Source organism: Homo sapiens, chromosome 6 (assembly GCF_000001405.40).
Source record: "Homo sapiens chromosome 6, GRCh38.p14 Primary Assembly".
NCBI lineage: Eukaryota > Metazoa > Chordata > Mammalia > Primates > Hominidae > Homo > Homo sapiens.
Window position 1 is genome coordinate 29764753 of NC_000006.12, and position 21199 is coordinate 29785951.

Here is a 21199-nt window from a genome sequence, read left to right on the forward strand (position 1 = left end):
CCTTAGAAGACAAAACTACCCAAGAGCTGGCAGCAGCTAACCAGCTTGCTATCTGGGATATCACTCTGCAGTGGGAGGGAAGATAGCCTCTACCATGGTGTAGGGGTCCAGGGACCAGGCAGGGAGGTCTTCCTAGTGGTCAGTGCTTCTCACAGTTGGGAGATGAATCACCTTTCGATGAGGCCAAAGACCTCATGTTCCTCACTAGCTGACTTGTTCCCACTCAGTGGAAAAAGAACCCAGAACCTTTGCAAAATTTTAGGAGAGAAGGACTTTCCCTCTTGTCTCTTAGTGCCAGGGTTATGCATGACTCATACTTGAATTGCAATGTGTACACAGCTTAAAGTCTTAATTATTAGAACATAAGAGGCCCAAACCACTGTTGTTATAGATATGTAAAACTATGCAGTACAAAATTAAACAACCCCCAACCAATTAAGAGTGGAGATAAATTATCAATATTTGTAAATTTAAAACAAGATCGACAGCCCTTTAGAAAAACAACAAAAAATGAGACTTTTGCAAGACAATCTAAATGATACGCTAATAACAAACCTTCATGAAAATGACATTTCGACCATCTGAGTTTCTGCTTTAAGTTACAAATTCCAAAAGGTACTAATCCCCAATAATTTACAGTAGGGAGCCCTAAGCCACAAAGAAAGGTGTCAGGGCACACCTGAGACCTGAAGTGAGAACATACCCTCCCTCAGGGTCACGAGTGAATCCTCTAAGACCCCTCCTCCCTCAGACACTCCATCCAGTCATCAGAAGGTCCACACAGCACTAAGACCCAACCACCTCACTGTCTTCACCTCCATGGAGAGAGCCCAGGTGACAGCCATGCCTGCTCCTCCTCCCTCATCTCCCACAGCCTCAGCACCATCGTCTGCCTCGAGTCCACCAGGACTGAGCTCCTCATGCCCTTTCCCTGTTTGTGTCAGTCACACTGGGTCCCCCATATACCCAGCACTTGCATCCCCACAAGGCTCCGCACGCTCTATTCTGTCCCCCCACCATGTCCCCTACCTAACTCCAGAAATCTTCCCTCTGTACTCCCTGGAATCTGGAATCCTCAGTCCATGATCAGCAAAACCTCCTCATTCTCTCTCAGGATGCTCCCTCACCTCGAAGCTCTAGCAGGAACCAGGTCTTCCTGAGGATGTGACCCGCTCTGAAGTTCCCCTACATGGGGGAGTTTCCCAGCAACTTATACCCCTGGGTTCAGAGGTGAGGTGGGGTCCTTGCTCTTCACTGTGGTTCTCAGACCTTTCTGCCTCCCTCCTCCCTAAAACCCCTAAGCTGTCATCAGACTAAGGCGCCGCTCCCCTCATTGTAGCCATTCCCTGTGGGCCCCAAGCCATTCCTGTCAATCCTAACTCTTGTAGCTCCTAGATCACTGTCACCCTCTCCAGCAGTGCTGTCTCCTTGATTCTTTCTGACTTCAACATATGCAGATGTGCTGGGCTGAGTACTAGTCCCCAAAGAGATCCAGTCTTAGTCCTTGGAGTCGGTGAACAGGTTGCATTGCATGGCAAAAGGGACATTACTCATGTAATGAAGATAAAGGACCTTAAAGTAGGGAGATCATCCTGGACTCTCTGTGTGGGCCCGATCAAATCACATGAGCCATTAAAAGGAGAGAATCTGCTCTAGATGGAGTCACATGCTGCAGAGAAGGAAGGCAGAGGAGACACAGCAAAGGGGAGATCAGTGGTTCCAAGCAGGAGGATTGGATGTGCTTTAGGCACCAGAGAGAAGTCTCTAGGATCTAAGGGTGCTCCCAAAAAGGAAGTGGGAAGCTCAGTTCTATCTGCAGGAAGTGAATTCAGACAAGAACCTGAATAAGCTTGGATGTGGACTCTTCCCCAGATTCTCCAGGAAGGAGCACAGACCTGCCCATACCTTGATCTTAGCCCCGTGAGACTGGGTGGACTTGCAACCCACACAACTGTGACATGATAATTAGGTGCTGTTTAAAGCTGCTTGGTTTGTGGTAATTTTTATGGCAGCAATAGACACCTATACAGCAGAGAAGATGCCCTCACTCCCTGGCCTCTCAGATCCTGGAACTCCTTTTCTTCATTACCATCTCCTCTCTCTGCCGGAATCTCAGGACCTTGTCCTCCCCTAGGCCTCATCATGGCAAAGAACCCCAGCCCTTCCACACTCTCAATCTCACACTTCCCACTCTCTGACCATCTTTCCACTCATCCCCTTGCAGGGTAGCCACAGGCTCTGAAGACACTGATGCTATAATTTGATCATATGCTATAATGTAACATCAGTGAACCACTCATTGCATGTGTGCCTGCTTTCCAGGCATGGAGTCCATTCTGTAGTACATCTATTCCAATAATTTTTCCACCCCCTTGAAATTCCCAATCCAGTGATGCTGCTATCTATTCCTTCTCCCTTAGTGTTTGTTGTCCTCTCCTCCCTCCTCATCCATTTTGGATTCTGTAGTAAATAATTTCCATCCCTCCCTTGCCTCTCCCTTTCGTTGTCACACTTGCCTGGCAAAACTACACAGCTAGTGGATTCCACCTCAGCCTACACTGCACCTGCCCCCATAAGCTGCAGGAGGCTGGAGAGCAGCACACAGCATGCTGACTGTTCTCTCTACATTCACGACCCAAACCTCATGGGGAGCCCCCACCATAGCCAGCAATCACCCTCTCCCTGCATGGCTCACTCTCAGCCTCCTCCTGGCCTGGGTGACTCTTACATACCTTCTCTCTGTCCTCACACATCCAATCTTCCTTCCCCATTCTTACTTCCGCTGATGATCTTGCTTCCTACTTCACTGAGAAAACTGAACACATTTAGAAGACAACTTCACAGATTCCACCACCGTCTGCTCATGCATTTGCAGCTGCACCACATGTCAGGCATTTTACTACATGGGGGATTGCTGTGTGTTAACCATCCTGCTCCCAGCCAGAGCCAGTTCCTCTGCTGGTGCCCTGAACATCATCCCTTCTCATCTACTTAAAGTGTTAGTTCATCAATTAATACCTTTTTTTTCCCTCTATTGTCATCCCTTTTCCTTTTATTCCAGTGGATCATTGTGGCACTCATGAGGATGCACATCCCAGGCCCTCAGGTAGAGGAAGAATAATTGATGATGTCCCAGCTGTCGCAGCCTGAAATCTATTGTCACATTTGATCTGAGACCACACCTGCCCCAGCTTTTTCCAACCAATGATTGACCAAAGCAGGAAAACTAAGGCAAGAATATTCCTACTCTGAAGGCTGGCTGAGGCTCCAGGACTCCCTGCCATCCCTACTGAGCTTCCCTTAGCCTACACAGGGTCTAGGATGCTTCCAGCTGACCTTCCTGCCCTCTCTCCTTCACTGGGACTCAGAGTTGCATTGTGATCTGATGGCTTTTCCAGCATTTCTGTCTCTATCCTGATTTTCTCTCACAACTATTTCCCCTAATAAATCCTTACACATTTAATACTGTATTGGGGTCTAAGTTCAGGACCGCAGCTATCACAAGTGGTATCAAGGGTGATCCATGAAAATGACCAAAACTGGAAATTTGAAATAAGCTTTCCCACTGCCTGTCAGGCCAAGAGGATGCCATCTAGGTTAGCGGGGGACAAAGAAAGTCCATAGAGAAGTTGCATCTGAGCTGCCGTGGGTCTCACCAGTGCTAACCTGAGAAGATGCTCTGGTTAGGGGAAGCTATGGCAGATGTGGTGATAGAATGCCCTGCACAATAATGATGGAGTTGGGGGTAAACCCACAAAGACAGTGGAGTTGGCTGGTTACTTCCCAGCTGTGTTGATGCTCTATAAAAGGATAATGAGAATCTGCAGGTTGTTAACAGCTGTCACTGGCTATGTGTGAGAGTCTCTGCAGTGTCTCATGGAGAGGCCTTTATCTCCTGGATCAAAAGAGCAGATAGCATGGAATGGTAGCTGAACATCATTATGGTGGGCACAGTGCTCCAGAGACGTTTGATACTCAGCCAACACAGGCCTTTTATAGGAAAGTCAGGGCCCTGGTGGGGGAACCTCAGATTCTGCAAACTAGAACAGAGTTATCTGATGGGTGCCCTCCTCCAGGAACCCCTGGGCATGCAGAGGAGGCTCACCCTTCTCTAGTAATCGTTCCCACTTCCTATGCTGAAAGATGCTACAGAAGCCTCACTCCTACGATGCAGCAGGAATCCCACTCAGGAGCTTTGCAGGAACTAGCCAGCATGTCCCCATAGGGGCCTGGGGTGCACTTCTGGGATTGGAATTTGAGGGCATTTGATCAATAAACTAGAATTTCAGTCTGGATGAATAAAAATCCTTTGGCTTGGAGGCACTTTCTCAGGACATGGGTTTATCAAAGAACCCAGGACATGGGGTAAACCCACTACTGGGGTGAGTCCATATAGACTGGAAAAAATGATGCCCAACTCTCAACAAGGTAGATATGACCTAGTTATCCTGGAACATGTAGAGGATGCAATAACAAGGCTGAGGGAAGTGGGCGTGATGAAGGCCCACCAGGACCATGCTCCACAAGAGGACCCAGAGGGCACACCTTCCACCAGAGCCTCAGGAACATGCTGTGGAGAGGGACCTGCATCACTAAGAAGTGTCGGGGTGTTATCCTCTGCAGGCTGGGGGGGATGATAGTAAAGGTCCCAGAGTTGTGCTTATTCATATCTCTGGGGAGAATGTGGGCCTGAAGAGACTGAGAACAAGTGGTGGCAGTGACCTGCAAAAGCCGGAGGGCATGGTTACCATGGCAACCTCAGAGGAGCAGCCAAGGGGACTCAAGCTGCAGGGAGTGTGGGGAAAGTTAGTAGAGAGGACACCAGGGTTACAAGAGGCAGCCAACAAGGGCACTGCTTGATATATATGATAAGAAAGCAAGAATTGAGGAGCAGGAGACTGAGGGTGTTCGACCAAATACAAAGCCATGATCCCCTTCTCAATGCCTAGACCTCAATCAAGATTCAGACTCAGATCTCAGTGACAGAGGAGGAGTCCATATCCCTAGAGAAAGGACCCTGGGACACCATGGAGATATATGGCTGGGACAATTCCCTCAGTCTTTCAGCAAGGGAACCTATAGCCATTTACTCAGGAGACTGTACATTGGGGAAGGGAAATAGGCAGAACTAGGGGGGATCATTTTCATTGCATGTAAGCTGATATTGATGCCCAGATGCCCACAGCACAATCATCTTCTCCATCACAGTGGGGCTTACGGAGGCCAGGGAGTAAACCTGGACACATTATGGCCCGCAATGGGACCACTGGATGCATAGACCCAACCCTGATTATCTTCCAATTCCCTGAGTGCATAATTGACACTGATGCTCTGGTAAGTGGAGTCACCCCCACACTGGGTCCCCAGTCTGTGGTATAAGGGATCTCTTGATGCCAAAGGCCAAAGGGAAACCTCTGAAACTGCCCCCATCCTGGCCAAATCAAAAATCATAGTGTGTCCCAGCGTGGGTCTTGTGAAGGACACTGCAAGTATTGTGGGGGTCACACCACCATTACAAAGCTGAAGGAGGCGGGGTGGTGTTGAGGCTGCCTATTGTCTCCGTGTAATCCAGCAATCTGTCCCTGAGGAAGCCTAGTGAGGCCTAAAGAATGAATGAGATTACTCCAGATATGGCCAAGTAGGAGTTATAAGTGCAGCTTTTGTGCTGTCTGGATATCACTGGTAGAGCAGATTAACAAAGCCTTGGGCACACAGTGTGCAGCTGTGGATTTGGTGAGTGCATTTCTTTCCATTCCAATTACAAAGGGGATATGGAGTGATTCACATTCATGTGGGATCCACAACACATTGAATTATAGTTTGCCTCAGGACTTTTGTAACTCCCCTGTCCTCTATAGTATAGTCTTATGACTATACTAGACATACTGGATATCCTAAAGGATATTAAATCAGCTCATTTCATTTACAACTTCATGTTGACTGGGGCGAATGAGCAGCAGGTAGAAAGTGCACTGGCATCGTTGGCAAAACATTTGCACTTCAGAAGGTGAAGATAAACCTTACAGAGCTTCAGGAAAGGTCACTGTAGTGAAGTTTTATGAGTCCAGTGTTTAGGGGAATGCCAGGGGTGTCCCCTCCTAGGTAAATTACAAAGTGTTGCATTTTGCATCCTTACTGCAAAAAAAGAAAGCACACTCTCCGGTGAGCCTCTTGGAGTTCTGACGACAGCACATTCCACATGTAGAAATGTTGCTTTGGCCCACACTCTAGGTGACATAGGAGGAGGCCAGCTTCAAGTGAGGCCTACACAGGAAAGCACCCTGCAGCAGATACAGGCTGCGGTGCAGCCACCATCCCTCAGACCTCTTGGTACTGGAAGGGGCAGGGGTGGGGAAAGATGCAGGATGGAGCTGAACCAAGCAGCAGTGGGAGAGTCATGGTGGAGGGCCTGGGATCTGGAGTAAGATCATGTCATCCACAGCAGAGACATGGCTCCCCATTAGAAGCAACTTTTAGTGTTCCTGGTCCTGATTCGATAGAATGCTTAACCACAGGACACCAAGCAACGATGTGATTCCAAGTACCTGTGTGAATTGGCTTCTGTGTGACCCAGAAAGTCATAGATTGGACAGGCCCAACAGCATTCATCATGAGGTGAAAATGGTCCACCTGGGTTGTGCTTGAATCCCATGTTGACACCCCCAGAAAACACCCAAGTCTGAAGCAGCACTGAACAACCAAACAGACAAATGGAAGTTAGCCAGCCTTCACTATGGGTCAATGCAGGCCTGGTAGGATGGGCACATGAATGGAGCAAGCACAGTGGCAGGCATGAGGCTACATATGGGGCCAGAAGTACTGACTCCCCATTATCAAGACAGATCCAGCTGCTGCCACCTCTGAATGTCCAACTCATCAGCATTTGAGGCCCACCATGTGCCCTAGTGGGGCACTATTTCTTTAGGTGACTAACTAGCCACTATGTAACAAGTTGACTACATTTAGCTACTTCCATCCTAGAAGGGCCTGAGGTTCATCTTCACAGGGGTAGGCTCATATTCCATGGGTGAGTTTTCCTGTCCTGCTCTCGGACACTCAGCCAGCACCACTCTCTGGGTGCTGTTGACATTCCTGATCCACAGGCTAGGTGGTGCTCCCAACCCAGTATCTGCCTGAAGGACCCACTTGGCAGGGAAAGTTCCAGTGTTTCCGTGGCTATGGGTTTCACTGATCTGATCACCATCTGCACCACCCAGGGGCTGCCAGCCACAAGGAATGCTGGAAATGTCTTCTACAGGCAAAACTCAGTGTCATCCTGGAGGAAGCACTCTGAGGGGTGGGGGCCGTTTTTCAGGACATGGTGCATTGTTTGAATCAGAGACATCTCTACGGTGCTGTGTTCTCAATAGGAAGAATATGTGGGTCTAGAAACCGAAAGTTGGAAGCAGGTTTGTCTCCATGTCCAGTCTCTTAGATTCACCCACTGGGGTATTTTGCACGTTTTATCTCCCAACTTTGGGCTGTTCAGGGCAGGAGGTCCTTAAAAAGAGACACATGACAGCCCATTGAACTACACATTATGGTTGTCACCAGAGAAGTTTGGACAGTATGTGCCCAGAGACCAGCTGGTGAGAAAAGGAGTCTCTTCCTCTCCAGGTGCAGGTAATAGATCCTGATCTCCAGGAGGAGGCATGGCTACTTTCACACAATGAGGGCAGAAGTGTGTGTGTGAGAACCAGAGATCTACTTGGGGGCCTTCTGGTTTGCCTTGTCCCTTTGTAAATGTGAGCAGAATCATCCAGCAATCCAGCCTGAGAGGATTTGATTTCCAAGGGCCCAGACCTCTCAGGACAGGAGGTTTGAGCCACACTCCTGGGTAATCACCCAAGGCCCCACTCCTGTGCTCTGACATCCTCAGTGTCATTGGTGCAGAGACCCTGCTTCCCATGGGCTGTTCCCAGCCAGTGATGGGTCACACCAGTGACACTGAGGCAGGACATTCCTGGGAGACCAGGGACTCCTCTGACGGACAGCAGTGGCTCAAAGACTCCTCCATGGCTTTGCTCAACTCTCCTGAGATTGCCTGTGGTCTAGGACACATCCAGTAAACCTTCTGTCCTTCTGTCCATCACTGGGGGTCACATTTGCATCTTGGTCTGTTGCCTTTCCCAGGGTAACCTGCCTCCGTTGCTATATCTCTGACAGGTGTGTCCCCTAATAAAATCCTGTAACTTTAATCCCATGATGGCACTTGGAATGCAAAATCATTTTCATCTGCACACCAGTGACCTCTTACTTACTCCAATTTGTAAAATCCTTTTGTTTGTTCAACTTCTACCTGCATTGGCTCCATTTTGCTAGTATTTGTATTATGCTTTTGAGATAGTCGATGTTTGTTGCTTTAAGTCACTAAATTTGGGGGTAGTTTGTTATACAGCAATGGATAACTAATGAAGCCCTCTTACATTTCTGTTATTCTATAGAGGTTAAATACATCCGTTTTATTTCCTCCCATTTTGATAATATTAGCCATATATTGGGTTCCTAGTTTCTCTACGCCTGTTTTTTTCTTTATTTTCGTTTCTTTTCTCCTTTATTCCTTCCCTTTCTTCTCACTTCTATCTCTCCCTCCCTCTCTTTCTTTTCTATTTCCATTTGCCCTCCCTCCCTCCTTCTCTTCCCCTTCCTTCTTTGCTTCCTTCACTCCTCTCTCCTTCTTTCTCTCCTTTCCTCCATTTTTTTCTTTTTTATTATGACATATTCTGACATATAAAATAACCCTATGTGTTTGTACTATAAGGAAACATTTTCTGAATCTATATGTTAAAAGTATAAAGCCATGGTATATAGGATACAAGTTAACAACAGGAAGTTATTAACAGAGTCTGAATAAGAATGCCTGCTATAGGCTGGGCATGGTGACTCATGCCTGTAATCCCAGCACTTTGGGAGGCCTAGACGGGCGGATCACGAGGTCAGGGGATAGAGACCATCCTGGCTAACACGGTGAAACCCTGTCTTTACTAAAAATACAAAAAAAAAATTAGCCGGTGTGGTGGCGGGCACCTGTAGCCCCAGCTACTCAAGAGGCTGAGGCGGGAGAATGGCGTGAACCCAGGAGGTGGAGCTTGCAGTGAACCGAGATTGTGCCACTGCACTCCAGCCTGGGCGACAGAGCAAGACTCCGTCAAAAAAAAAATCTGCTATAATTCTGCAGCCAAGGCAGTTGCTATTAACTCTTAATTCCTTCAACTCAGTGTTTTCAGAACACATCAACATCACATATTACACATTTATTGTAAAAGCTTAAGTTGGCACAATTACTTTGGAAATCATATTATCATTATTTAGTATGGTTAAAGGCCATACAACATATCATCCAACCATCCCACTCCTAATCATACACTCTGGCGGCTTTCTCGCCTATGTGCCCAGGAGACATGCACACTAATGTTTATGGCAAAAACTGGAATCAGCCTCCTATACATCAATAGCAAAGTAGTGAAATTGTGGTATAACCATAAAATGTAAACCTTCAGCAGTAAAAATGAGTGAATGACAGCCTCCCACACAACAGATAACTCCTATACATAATGTGCATCATGAGAAAAGAAATGTAGTAGGAATTTCTGTACAGGAAGCTTAAAAACCAGTGAAACTAATATTTGGTTTGAGATTATATATACTTATTGTACAAATATTTAAAGAAATACAAAGTAATAATAAAAACAAGACTCAGGATGGGGTCTCATTCTGGGGGATGTGATTGGGCAGCAGCCCAGGGTGGCTTTGCGGGTTCTGTGTCTTATGCCAGTGCTGGGAACCCAGGTAACTACTAGATTATAACTCCTTAAACAGTATTTTTCAAACTAAAATATACCTGTTTCTTAAAAAATGAAAGAAAAAAATATCAAAGTTCATTGCAAGGATCCTTAACAAGAACTACTTACATTGGAAGAAAGCCACAGAGAATTGTAAGGAGCCACATGACAGAGAGGCTCCTTACAGGATGCCATGACAATACCCTTGGCTAAAGGGCCATATGATCCTTGGCTCACAGGCATCTCTCTAGATTTTCAGGTATACAAGATTCAATCTGATGTGCAAGGTAATTCCATTTTGCAAAGGATTTGATTTGTTACATATTCCACACATACAACTGAATTAAACTTTTACAGAATTGGAAATGCACATCATTGATCAAAATAGATGAAACAATAAAAGAGTATAAAGGAACAACCAGTGATGGAATAGCAAATATGAATGGAAAACACAACAGGATTGCTCAAAAAAACTTGAAAGCACAAAATTGCAGTGCCATTTAGAATCATAGTGGTGTCCAAATCACTTCTATCGTATCTGATTCAATACCAGAACAAAAGATGTTAAGTTTATTATAGAATGCTCACCAAATAGCCAGTTTTTGAAAAATCTTATGCCTCAGTTGGAGCTAACCATTTTGGGCTACTGCATCCAACCAAAGCTATTGACATCTTGCTAAGCTAGATGTGTTAACTGAGGTATGAGATTCACATTTTTGTAAATTAAAACCAATTAGGCAAATTTTTTAAAGTGAAATCAAGTTTATGAGAGAAGTAAGGAAACAAAAGAATGGCTACTCAATAGACACAACAGCCCTTTTTTTTAAGTGTAGGCAAATGTTTTTTGAAGATGATATTTCAATAAGAAAATTGGCACTTGGGGCATACTTCAACTAAATGTGAGACACCTTAGTTGAAACAAAGACTTATTTTCAAGTCATTATTTTTACGGCACAGAAGTCTTTGGAATATTTGCTCTAGTTACTCTGGGTTCTCAACTGTTGACTCATTGAAGAGAATATTGTTATTAAAGGTATTTGCAAGAAAAACTCAGACATACTATTGTATCCTCTTTCTCTGTCTCAAACAGTTTTCGCCACAACACCCAAGGCTCTGTGATGTCTCAAACTTTTAATCATTAATTTAAAAAGAGAAGCTTATCACAGAATTAGAAGAAACTATTTTAAAATTCATATGGAACCAAAAAAGAGCTCATATAGCCCGGACAATCCTACACAAAAAGAACAAAGCAGGCGGCCTCAGACTACCTGATTTCAAACTATACTACAGGCTACAGTAACCAAAACAGCATGGTAATAGACTAATGGAAGAGAGTAGAGAACTCAGAAATAAAACCGCATATCTAAAACCATCTGATCTTCAACAAACCTGATGAAAACAAGCAACAGGGAAATGATTCCATATTTAATAAATGATGTTGGGAAAACGGGCTAGCCATTTGCAGAAAACTGAAACTGGACCCCTTCCTTACATCTTACACAAAAATTAACTCTAGATGGATTAAAGACCTAAATGTAAAACCCAAAACTATAAAAACCCAAGAAGAAAATCTAGGCAATACCATTTGCCTGGGCATGGGCAAAGATTTTATGATGAAATCGCCAAAAGCATCTGCCACAAAAGCAAAAACTGACAAATGGGATCTAATTAAACTAAAGAGCTTCTGCACAGGAAAAGACACTGTGATCAGAGTGAACAGACAACCTACAGAATGAAAGAAAATTTTTGTAATCTATCCATCTGACAAAGATCTAATATCCACAATCTACAAGGAAATTAAGCAAATTTACAAGAAAATAACAAACAACCCCATTAAAAAGTGGGCAAATGACATGAACAGACACTTCTCAAAAGAAGACATACATGTGGCCAACAAACATATGAAAAAAAGCTCATCATCACTGGTCATTAGAGAAATGCAAATCAAAACCACAATGAGATACCATCTCATGCCAGTCAGAATGGTGATTATTAAAAAGTCAAGAAACAACAGATACTGGCAAGGTTGCAGGGAAATAGGAATGCTTTAACTGTTGGTGGGAATGTAAATTAGTTCAACCATTGTGGAAGACAATATGACGATTCCTCAAAGATCTAGAACTAGAAATACCATTTGACCCAGCAATCCCATTACTGGGTATATACCCAAAGAAATATAAATCATTCTATTATAAAGTTACATCCATGTGTATGTTCATTGCAGCACCACTCACAATAGCAAAGACATGGAATCAACCTAAATGCGCATCAACAATAGACTGGATAAAGAAAACATATGACATGTACACCATGGAATACTATGCAGCCTTAAAAAGGAAGGAGATCATGTTTTGCAGGGACATGGAAAAAGCTGGAAGCCATTATCCTCAACAAACTAATGCAGAAACAGAAAAACAAACACTGCATGTTCTCACTGATAATTGGGAGCTGAGCAATGAGAATCCATGGGCACTGGGAGGGGAACACTGTGTCCTTTTGGGGGGGGGGCAGAGGTGGGGTGCGCATTAGGAAAAATAGCTCATTCATGCTAGGCTTAATACCTAGGTGCTGGGTTGATAAGTGTAGCAAAACACCATGGCACACGTTTACCTATGTAACAAATCTGCACATCCTGCATATGTACCCTGAAACTTAAAATAAAAATTAAAAAGAAGCTTAAAGCATTAAAGAAAAATAATCACATGAAAGAAGCATTTGATTTACAAAATCCTGAAATAATAATTTTAATTTTGCTTTCAACATGTATGCAAATCCCTTGATACTCCTCCCTTCCAATGGTGCAGCTTAATTCCTTCCCTGTGAGTTCGGCTTGGACTTAATGATGCACTTCTGATATGGCCTCACCCTGTGTCCCCACCCAAACTCATCTTGAATTGTAATCCCCACGTGCTAGGGGAAAGACATGGTGGGAAGTGATTAGATCATGGGGATGGTTCCCTCATGCTGTTCTCATGATAGTGAGTGAGTTCTATGAGATCTGATGGTTTTGCAAGAGTCTTCCCTGCCACCCCCGCCCCCGACAACCTTGCATTTCTCTCTCCCACCACCATGTGAAGAATGACATGCTTCCTTCCCCTTCTGCCATGATTGTAAATTTCCTGAGGCCACCTCTTCAGTCATGCAGAACTGTGAGTCAATTAAACCTCTTTCCTTTATAAATTACCCAGTCTCAGGTATTTCTTTATAGCAGTGTGAGAACAGACAAATACAACTTCTAACTGATAGAGTAGTGCTGATATAACAGTTTTTGACTCTGGGTGTAGAACATAAAACTCACTGCAGCTTCTCTCTCTCTGTCTCTGGGATCATGAGCTCTGGGGGAAGCCAACTGCTGTGCCATAAGCAGCCCTGCAGGAAGGTCCATGTGGCTAAAAACTGAGGCCTCCTGGGACCGGACAACAAGGAACCATGTGAGTGAGCCATGTTTCTTGTAAATCCCAAGCCCTAGTGAAGCTCTCAGATGATGCAGCCCTGGACTGGACTGTAACCTTGTGAGAGGCTCTGAGCCAGAAGCACTCAGGGAAACCTTGCTCCTGGATTCCTGACCATTGGAAACTGCGGTAGATGATGTTTGTTGTTTTGCGCTGCTAAGTTTTATGTAATTTGTTATGCAATAGTAAATAACTAATACATTTTCATAAGAGAGGATGATTTATTGCACTTCAATTTTCATTTGCTCTAAATTTATGATCATGATTATTACTATTTTTGAGACAGCATCTTGCTCTGTCACAGAGGCTAGAGTGCAGTGGCATGTTCACCATTCACTGCTGTGTTGACTTCCTGTGCTCAAATATCCTCTGACCTCAGCCTCCTGAGTAGCTGGCTGGGACTACAGGCATGAACCACCATGCCTGGATAATACTCTAATGTTTTTGTAGAGATGGAGGTTTCACCATGTTGCCCAGGCTGATCTCAAACTCTTGGAGTCAATGGATCTGCCTTCCTCTGCCCGCCACAGTGCTAGGATTGTAGGTGCCAGCCACCACACCTGGCATGAATTAATTATAAGCTATTAAACCTGTCACTTGATTTTAAGAGGTAAGGTGAATCTCCATGGCTGAAGAGGATGTATTTTATTATCATTCACAATGATCGCTTTACTTGAACTTCAATTTCCAACTGTGTCACAATTAAACACAAAAGGAAAATCCAACCCTTGCTAGGCTGATTCTATAATAGTCCCAACAACCACCTCCTGGTCATCCACCTTCCCCCAATTATTCAACCAACTCTACTGTAGGTGCTGCTGTGAAGGGATTTAGCAGATATAATCAAGGTCCTCAATCAGTTGACTTGAGGCTGGGTTTAGCCTGCTTGGACACTCCTAATCAGGTGAGCCCATGAAAGGACTGGGTTCTTCCTGAGCATAGAGATTCACAGTGTGAGAGGGATTCAGTGTGAGGGGTTTCCTCCACTGTGGGCTTTGAAATTGAAGGGGCTGACTAGAAAAGAATGCTGTTTGGCTCCAGGCATTGAGCACAGCCCTCCCTCCTCTCTACCTTGACAGCTAGCAGGGAACAGGAAACTCAGTCTTAACGACTGTCAGAAACTGAATTCTGCCGCCTCTATATATGCTTGAAGGAGGATTCAAAATGAAAACACAGCTTTGGGAAGCCCTGAATAGAGACCCCGTCTACATCATGCCTGGATTTCTGCCTAAAGAACTGTAAACAGATCAGTGGATGTTGTTTGGGCAGGTGTGGTAGCACACACCTGCAATCCTAACATTTGAGGGGCTTACACAGGAGGATCACTTACACTCAGGAATTTGAGACCAGCCTGGGTAATGCAATGAGACCCTCATCTCTACAATTTTTTTTTAATTAGCTGGGCGTGGTGGCATTTGCCTGTAGTTCTAGTTACTCTGAAGACTGAGCCAGGAGGATCCTTTGAGCCCAGGATTTCAAGGCTGCAGTGAGCCATGACTGTGTGACTGCACTTCAAAATGGATGAGAGAAAGAGACCATTTCTCTAAAAATAAATGAATTAATTAAATAAATGGGTATTGTTTAAAGCCAATATTTGTGATAATTTGTTATGCAGTCATAAAATTCGTACAGTCTCAACAGACAAATGGAATGAATTTATGAATTGATATGCACACTAGTTACATAAAATAAAAACTTTCTCAATCTTTTCCAGTATTGTTTATTTTATAATTTTCTGTGATGAAATTAAATTTTAATACACTCATATTTCATTTATTCAGTCAACAAAAATTAATTTGGGGAATAGGAACAGCTCCAGTCTACAGCTCCCAGGGTGAGCAATGCAGAAGACGAATGATTTCTGCATTTCCAACTGAGGTACCAGGTTCATCTCACTGGGGACTGTCAGACAGTGGGTGCAGGACAGTGGGTGCAGTGCACCAAGTGTGAGCCAAAGCAGGGCGAGGCCACGCCTCACCCAGGAAGCGCAAGGGGTCAGGGAATTCCCTTTCCTAGCCAAGGAAAGGGGTGACAGATGGCACCTGGAAAATTAGGTCACTCCCACCCTAATACTGCACTTTTCCTATGGTCTTAGCAAACGGCACACCGAGAGATTATATCCCATGCCTGGCTCGCAGGGTCCTACACCCACAGAGCCTCGCTCATTGCCAGCACAGCAGTCTGAGATCAAACTGCAAGGCGGCAGCAAGGCTGGGGGAGGGGTGCCCGCCATTGCTGAGGCTTGAGTAGGTAAACAAAGCGGCCAGGAAGCTCGAGCTGGGTGGAGCCCACACAGCTCAAGGAGGCCTGCCTGCCTCTGTAGACTCCACCTCTGGGGGCAGGGCATAGCCAAACAAAAGGCAGCAGAAACCTCTGCAGACTTAAATGTCCCTGTCTGACAGCTTTGAAGACAGTAGTGGTTCTCCCGCATGCAGCTTGAGATCTGAGAACAGACAGACTGCCTCCTCAAGTGGGTCCCTGACTCCCAAGTAGCCTGACTGGGAGGCACCCCCCAGTAGGGGCAGACTGACACGTCACACGGCCGAGTACTCCTCTGAGACAAAATCTCCAGAGGAAAGATCAGGCAGCAACATTTGCTGTTCACCAATATGCATTGTTCTGCAGCCTCCGCTGCTGATACCCAGGCAAACAGGGTCTGTAGTGGACCTCCAGCAAACTCCAACAGACCTGCAGCTGAGGGTCCTGACTGTCAGAAGGAAAACTAACAAACAGAAAGGACATCCACACCAAAACCCCATCTGTACGTCACCATCATCAAAGACCAAAGGTAGATAAATCCACAAAGACGGGGAAAAAACAGAGCAGAAAAACTGAAAATTCTAAAAATCAGAGTGCCTCTCCTCCTCCAAAGGAATGCAGCTACTCACTAGCAATGGAACAAAGCTGGAAGGAGAATGACTCTGATGAGTTGAGAGAAGAAGGCTTCAGACGATCAAACTTCTCCGAGCTAAAGGAGGAAGTTCGAACCCATGACAAAGAAGTTAAAAACCTTGAAAAAAGATGAGATGAATGGCTAACTAGAATAACCAATGCAGAGAAGTCCTTAAAGGACCTGATGGAGCTGAAAACTACGGCACGAGAACTAAGTGATGAATGCACAAGCTTCAGTAGCTGATTCGATCAACTGGAAGAAAGGTTATCAGTGATGGAAGATCAAATGAATGAAATGAAGTGAGAAGAGAAGTTTAGAGAAAAAAGAATAAAAAGAAATGAACAAAGCCTCCAAGAAATATGGGACTATGTGAAAAGACCAAATCTGCATCTGATTGGTGTACCTGCAAGTGACGGAGAGAATGGAACCAAGTTGGAAAACACTCTGCAGGATATTATCCAGGAGAACTTCCCCAATCTAGCAAGGCAGGCCAACATTCAAATTCAGGAAATAGAGAGAACACAACAAAGATACTCCTCAAGAAGAGCAACTCCAAGACACATAATTGTCAGATTCACCAAAGTTGAAATTAAGGAAAAAATGTTAAGGAAAGACAGAGAGAAAGGTCGGGCTACCCACAAAGGGAAACCCATCAGACTAACAGCTGATCTCTCGGCAGAAACTCTACAAGGCAGAAGAGAGTAGGGGCCAATATTCAACTTTCTTAAAGAAAAGAATTTTCAGCCCAGAATTTCAAATCCAGCCAAACTAAGCTTTGTAAGTGAAGGAGAAATAAAATCCTTGACAGACAAGCAAATCCTGAGAGATTTTGTCACCACCAGGCCTGCCTTACAAGAGATCCTGAAGGAAGCACTAAACATGGAAAGGAACAACTGGTACCAGCCACTGCAAAAACATGCCAAATAGTAAAGACCATTGAGGCTAGGAAGAAACTGCATCAACTAATGAGCAAAATAACCAGCTAACATCATAATGACAGGATCAAATTCACACATAACAATATTAACCTTAAATGTAAATGGGCTAAATGCTCCAATTAAAAGACACAGACTGGCAAATTGGATAAAGAGTCAAGACCCATCAGTGTGCTGTATTCAGGAAACCCATCTCACGTGCAGAGACACACATAGGCTCAAAATAAAGGGATGGAGGAAGATCTACCAAGCAAATGGAAAACAAAAAAAGGCAGGGGTTGCAATCCTACTCTCTGATAAAACAGACTTTAAACCAACAAAGATCAAAAGAGACAAAGAAGGCCAATACATAATGGTAAAGGGATCAATTCAATGAGAAGAGCTAACTATCCTAAATATATATGCACCCAATACAGGAGCACCCAGATTCATAAAGCAAGTCCGTAGAGACATATAAAGAGACTTAGACTCCCACACAATAGTAATGGGAAACTTTAACACCCCACTGTCAACATCGGACAGATCAATGAGACAGAAAGTTAACAAAGATATCCAGGAATTGAACTCAGCTCTGCACCAAGCAGACCTAATAGACATCTACAGAACTCTCCACCCCAAATCAACAGAATATACATTCTTCTCAGCACCACACCGCACTTATTCCAAAACTGACCACATAGTTGGAAGTAAAGCACTCCTCAGCAAATGTAAAAGAACAGAAATTATAACAAACTGTCTCTCAGACCACAGTGCAATCAAACTAGAACTCAGGATTAAGAAACTCACTCAAAACTGCTCAACCACATGGAAACTGAACAACCTGCTCCTGAATGACTACTGGGTACATAATGAAAGGAAGGCAGAAATAAAGAGGTTCTTTGAAACCAACGAGAACAAAGACACAACATACCAGAATCTCTGGGATGCATTCAAAGCAGTGTGTAAAGGGAAATTTATAGCACTAAATGCCCACAACAGAAAGTAGGAAAGATCTAAAATCGACACCCTAACATCACAATTAAAAGAACTAGAGAAGCAAGAGCAATCACATTCAAAAGCTAGCAGAAGGCAAGAAATAACCAAGATCAGGGCAGAACTGAAGGAGATAGAGACACAAAAAACCCTTCAAAAAATCAATGAATCCAGGAGCTGATTTTTTGAAAAGACCAACAAAATTGATAGACCGCTAGCAAGACTAATAAAGAGAGAAGAATCAAATAGATGCAATAAAAATGATAAAGGGGATATCACCACCAATCCCACAGAAATACAAACTACCATCAGAGAATACTATAAACACCTCTATGCAAATAAACTAGAAAATCTAGAAGAAATGGATAAATTCCTCGACGCATACACCCTCCCAAGACTAAACCAGGAAGAAGTTGAATCTCTGAATATACCAATAACAGGCTCTGAAATTGAGGCAATAATTAATAGCTTACCAACCAAAAATAGTCCAGGACCAGATGGATTCACAGCCGAATTCTACCAGAGGTACAAGGAGGAGCTGGTACCATTCCTTCTGAAACTATTCTAATCAATAGAAAAAGAGAGAATCCTCCCTAACTCATTTTATGAGGCCAGCATCATCCTGATAGCAAAGCCGGGCAGAGACACAACAAAAAAAGAGAATTTTCGACCAATATCCCTGATGAACATAGATGCAAAAATCCTCAATAAAATACTGGCAAACCGAATCCAGCAGCACATCAAAAAGCTTATCCACCATGATCAAGTGGGCTTCATCCCTGGGATGCAAGGCTGGTTCAACATACGAAAATCAATAAACATAATCCAGCATTTAAAGAGAACCAACGACAAAAACCACATGATTATCTCAATAGATGCAAAAAAGGCCTTTGACAAAATTCAACAACCTTCATGCTAAAAACTCTCAATAAATTAAGTATTGATGGGACGTATCTCAAAATAATAAGAGCTATCTATGACAAACCCACAGCCAATATCATACTGAATGGGCAAAAACTGGAAGCATTCCCTTTGAAAACTGGCACAAGACAGGGATGCCCTCTCTCATCACTCCTATTCAACATAGTGTTGGAAGTTCTGGCCAGGGCAATTAGGCAGGAGAAGGAAATAAAGGGTATTCAATTAGGAAAAGAGGAAGTAAAATTGTCCCTGTTTGCAGATGACACGACTGTATGTCTAGAAAACCCCATCATCTCAGCCCAAAATCTCCTTAAGCTGATAAGCAACTTCAGCAAAGTCTCAGGATACAAAATCAATGTGCAAAAATCACAAGCATTCTTACACACCAATAACAGACAGACAGCCAAATCATGAGTGAACTCCCATTCAAAATTGCTACAAAGAGAATAAAATACCTAGGAATCCAACTTACAAGGGATGTGAAGGACCTCTTCAAGGAGAACTACAAACCTGCTCAATGAAATAAAAGAGGATATAAACAAATGGAAGAACATTCCACGTTCATGGATAGGAAGAATCCATATCATGAAAATGGCCACACTGCCCAAGGTAATTTATAGATTCAATGCCATCCCCATCAAGCTACCAATGACTTTCTTCACAGAATTGGAAAAAACTACTTTAAAGTTCATATGGAACCAAAAAAGAGACCACATTGCCAAGAGAATCCTAAGCCAAAAGAACAAAGCTGGAGGCATGACGCTACCTGACTTCAAACTATACTACAAGGCTGCAGTAACCAAAACAGTATGGTACTGGTACCAAAACAGAGATACAGACCAATGGAACAGAACAGAGGCCTCAGAAGTAACACCACACATCTACAATCATCTGATCTTTGACAAACCTGACAGAAACAAGCAATAGGGAAAGGTGCTGGGAAACTTAATAAATGGTGCTGGGAAAACTGGCTAGCCACATGTAGAAAGCTGAAACTGGATCCCTTCCTTACAACTTACACAGAAATTAATTCCAGATGGATTAAAGACTTCAATGTTAGACCTAAAACCATAAAACCCAAAAGAAAACCTAGGCAATACCACTTAGGAAATCAGCATGGGCAAGGATTTCGTGACTAAAACACCAAAAGCAATGGCAACAAAAGCCAAATTAGACAAATGGGATCTAATTAAACTAAAAAGCTTCTGCACAGCAAAAGAAACTACCATCAGAGTGAACAGGCAACCTACAGAATGGGAGAAAATTTTTGCAGTCTACCCATCAAACAACCCCATAAAAAGTGGGCAAAGGATATGAACAGGCACTTCTCAAAAGAAGACATTTATGCAGCCAACAGACACATGAAAAAATGCTCATCATCACTGGCCATCAGAGAAATGCAAATCAAAACCACAATGAGATACCATCTCACACCAGTTAGAATGGCGATCATTAAAAAGTCAGGAAACAACAGGTGCTGGAGAGGATGTGGAGAAACAGGAACACTTTTACACTGTTGGTGGGACTGTAAACTAGTTCAACCATTGTGGAAGACAGTGTGGCAATTCCTGAAGGATCTAGAACTAGAAATACCATTTGACCCAGCCATCCCATTACTGGGTATATGCCCAACGGATTATAAATCACGCTACTATAAAGACACATGCACATGTATGTTTATTGTGGCACTATTCACAATAGCAAAGAATTGGAACCAACCCAAATGTCCATCAATGATAGACTAGATTAAGAAAATGTGGCACATATACACCATGGAATACTATGCAGCCATAAAAAGGATGAGTTCATGTCCTTTGTAGTGACATGGATGAAGCAGGAAACCATCATTCTGAGCAAACTATCGCGAAGACAGAAAATCAAACAGCGCATGTTCTCACTCATAGGTGAATTGAACAATGAGAACACTTGGACACAGGGTGGGGAACATCACACACTGGGGCCTGTCGTCAGGTGGCGGGATGGGGGAAGGATAGCATTAGGAGAAATACCTAATGTAAATGACTAGTTAAAGAGGGCAGCAAACCAACAGGGCACATGCATACATATGTGACAAACCTGCACGTTATGCACATGTACCATAGAACTTAAAGTATAATTTTAAAAAAATGTAAGAGAAAAGAATACCAAAGTTAATTGCAAGGATCCTTAATAAGAACTACTTACATTGGAAGCAAACCACAGAGAATTGTAAGGAGTCATGTGACAGAGAGGACCAGGATGCCA

The 21199-nt window shown here is 43.8% G+C and overlaps 1 pseudogene, besides 1 other annotated feature; it reads right to left on the reverse strand.

The window, feature by feature from the left end:
- On the reverse strand, window positions 364-1544 carry LOC353010 (HLA complex group 26 (non-protein coding) pseudogene; annotated as a pseudogene).
- Window positions 15316-15816: an enhancer, noted in NCBI's record as "H3K4me1 hESC enhancer chr6:29747845-29748345 (GRCh37/hg19 assembly coordinates)". NCBI's record gives its function as "activates a minimal SCP1, AML or CMV promoter by ChIP-STARR-seq in naive H9 embryonic stem cells {active_cell/tissue: H9 hESC(naive)}" and the evidence as "EXISTENCE:reporter gene assay evidence [ECO:0000049][PMID:30033119]".